This window comes from Homo sapiens, chromosome 4 (assembly GCF_000001405.40).
Source record: "Homo sapiens chromosome 4, GRCh38.p14 Primary Assembly".
Taxonomy (NCBI): Eukaryota; Metazoa; Chordata; class Mammalia; order Primates; family Hominidae; genus Homo; species Homo sapiens.
Genome location: NC_000004.12, coordinates 81,733,169 through 81,734,593, shown reverse-complemented (window position 1 = coordinate 81,734,593; position 1,425 = coordinate 81,733,169). Strand labels below are relative to the sequence as shown.

General features: G+C 39.6%; 1 pseudogene; it reads left to right on the top strand.

Annotated features, from left to right (window-relative positions):
• Window positions 387–1,209, top strand: MTCYBP44 (MT-CYB pseudogene 44; annotated as a pseudogene).

Below are 1,425 nucleotides of genomic sequence, written 5' to 3'. Positions count from 1 at the left end.
ATATATAGCATTGTTTTATATATATATATATATATATATATATATATATATATATAATAATGCTATTATATAGTTAAGAAAGGTAACAAAAATTTGAACTACCTGACTTTGGAATAGCAGCTACTAGTAGATGCACAAGATGATGAAGATGTGGGATTGATAAGATTTGCTAATTTATTGGGATAGAAATGAGGGAGGAGAAAACAATTGAAGATGATTCTGAGACTTGAAGTCTTCATGACTTTCCTTTTTTCATATAATATTCAACCCAAGTAACTTTTTATACGGTTATGGAATTTTCATATTGCTATGGGAACCTGGTTGGTCCTCAGTCTTCCCTTTGTTGAGCAAAGAGCCTGGTGCTGTAGTTCCATCTGTAGCACAAAGAGCACCCAAGAGCTTCTGAAGTCATCAGGATGCTGACCCTGTATGGAGACCATAGCATGGCAAGTAAGTGGGGCACTTTACTTAGCATACTCCTCCACTTCAGTCAGACTGGTCTATGCACTGCCCTGGGGGCAGACCATGCTCTTTCTGCCCTCTGAGTCTTTGCCTCAGTCACACACATCTGCCAAGATATAAACTATGGCTAAATCATTTGGTATCTACATGCCAACGAGGCTTCAATATCCTCTGTCTGCCTATATTTACATGTAGAATGAGTCCTATATTATGGATCCTACGCCTTCCTAGAAACTTGAAACATTGATAACATTCTAATAGCAACGGTGGTCATAGGTTATGTAATAGCAACAGCGTTCATAGGTTATGTCCTTCCATGGGGTCAAATATCTTCCTGGGAAACAGTAATTACAAACCTGCTATCAGCTATTCTGTACATTGGAACAGACCTAGTACAATGGATCTGAGGTGGCTTTTCAGTTGACAAAGCCACCCTTACAGGATTCTTTCTTTTCCATTTTATTCTATCTTTCATTATTACAGCCCTACTAGCTGTTCACCCCCTACTCCTACATGAAACAGGTTCCAACAACCCTTTGGAAATTTCATTAGACTCTGATAAAATCCCATTACACCCTTATTGCATGATTAAAGATATTTTAGGCCTAGTCCTACTTGTCCTGCTCCTCCTAATACTAGTGTATTCTCACCTGACCTGCTAGGAGACCCAGACAACTACATCCCAGCAACCCTCTCAACACTCCACCCCATATTAAGCCAGAATAATACTCCTTATTTGCCTATTCAACCCACAGTGAATGGCTACAAATCCATGGGAGTTTACAGATATTTTTAGATTTCTGGTACATCCTTATAAGGTAAGAATTTTGTACAGGGTCAGGCAAGGGATGAGGAAATTATCTACCTCAGAGCCACCTTAGGTGATGGGTAAGCCTTGAAGGATGGTTCTCATACCTAGCATATTCCTCCACTTCAGTCAGACTGGTCTGTGTACCACCCTGA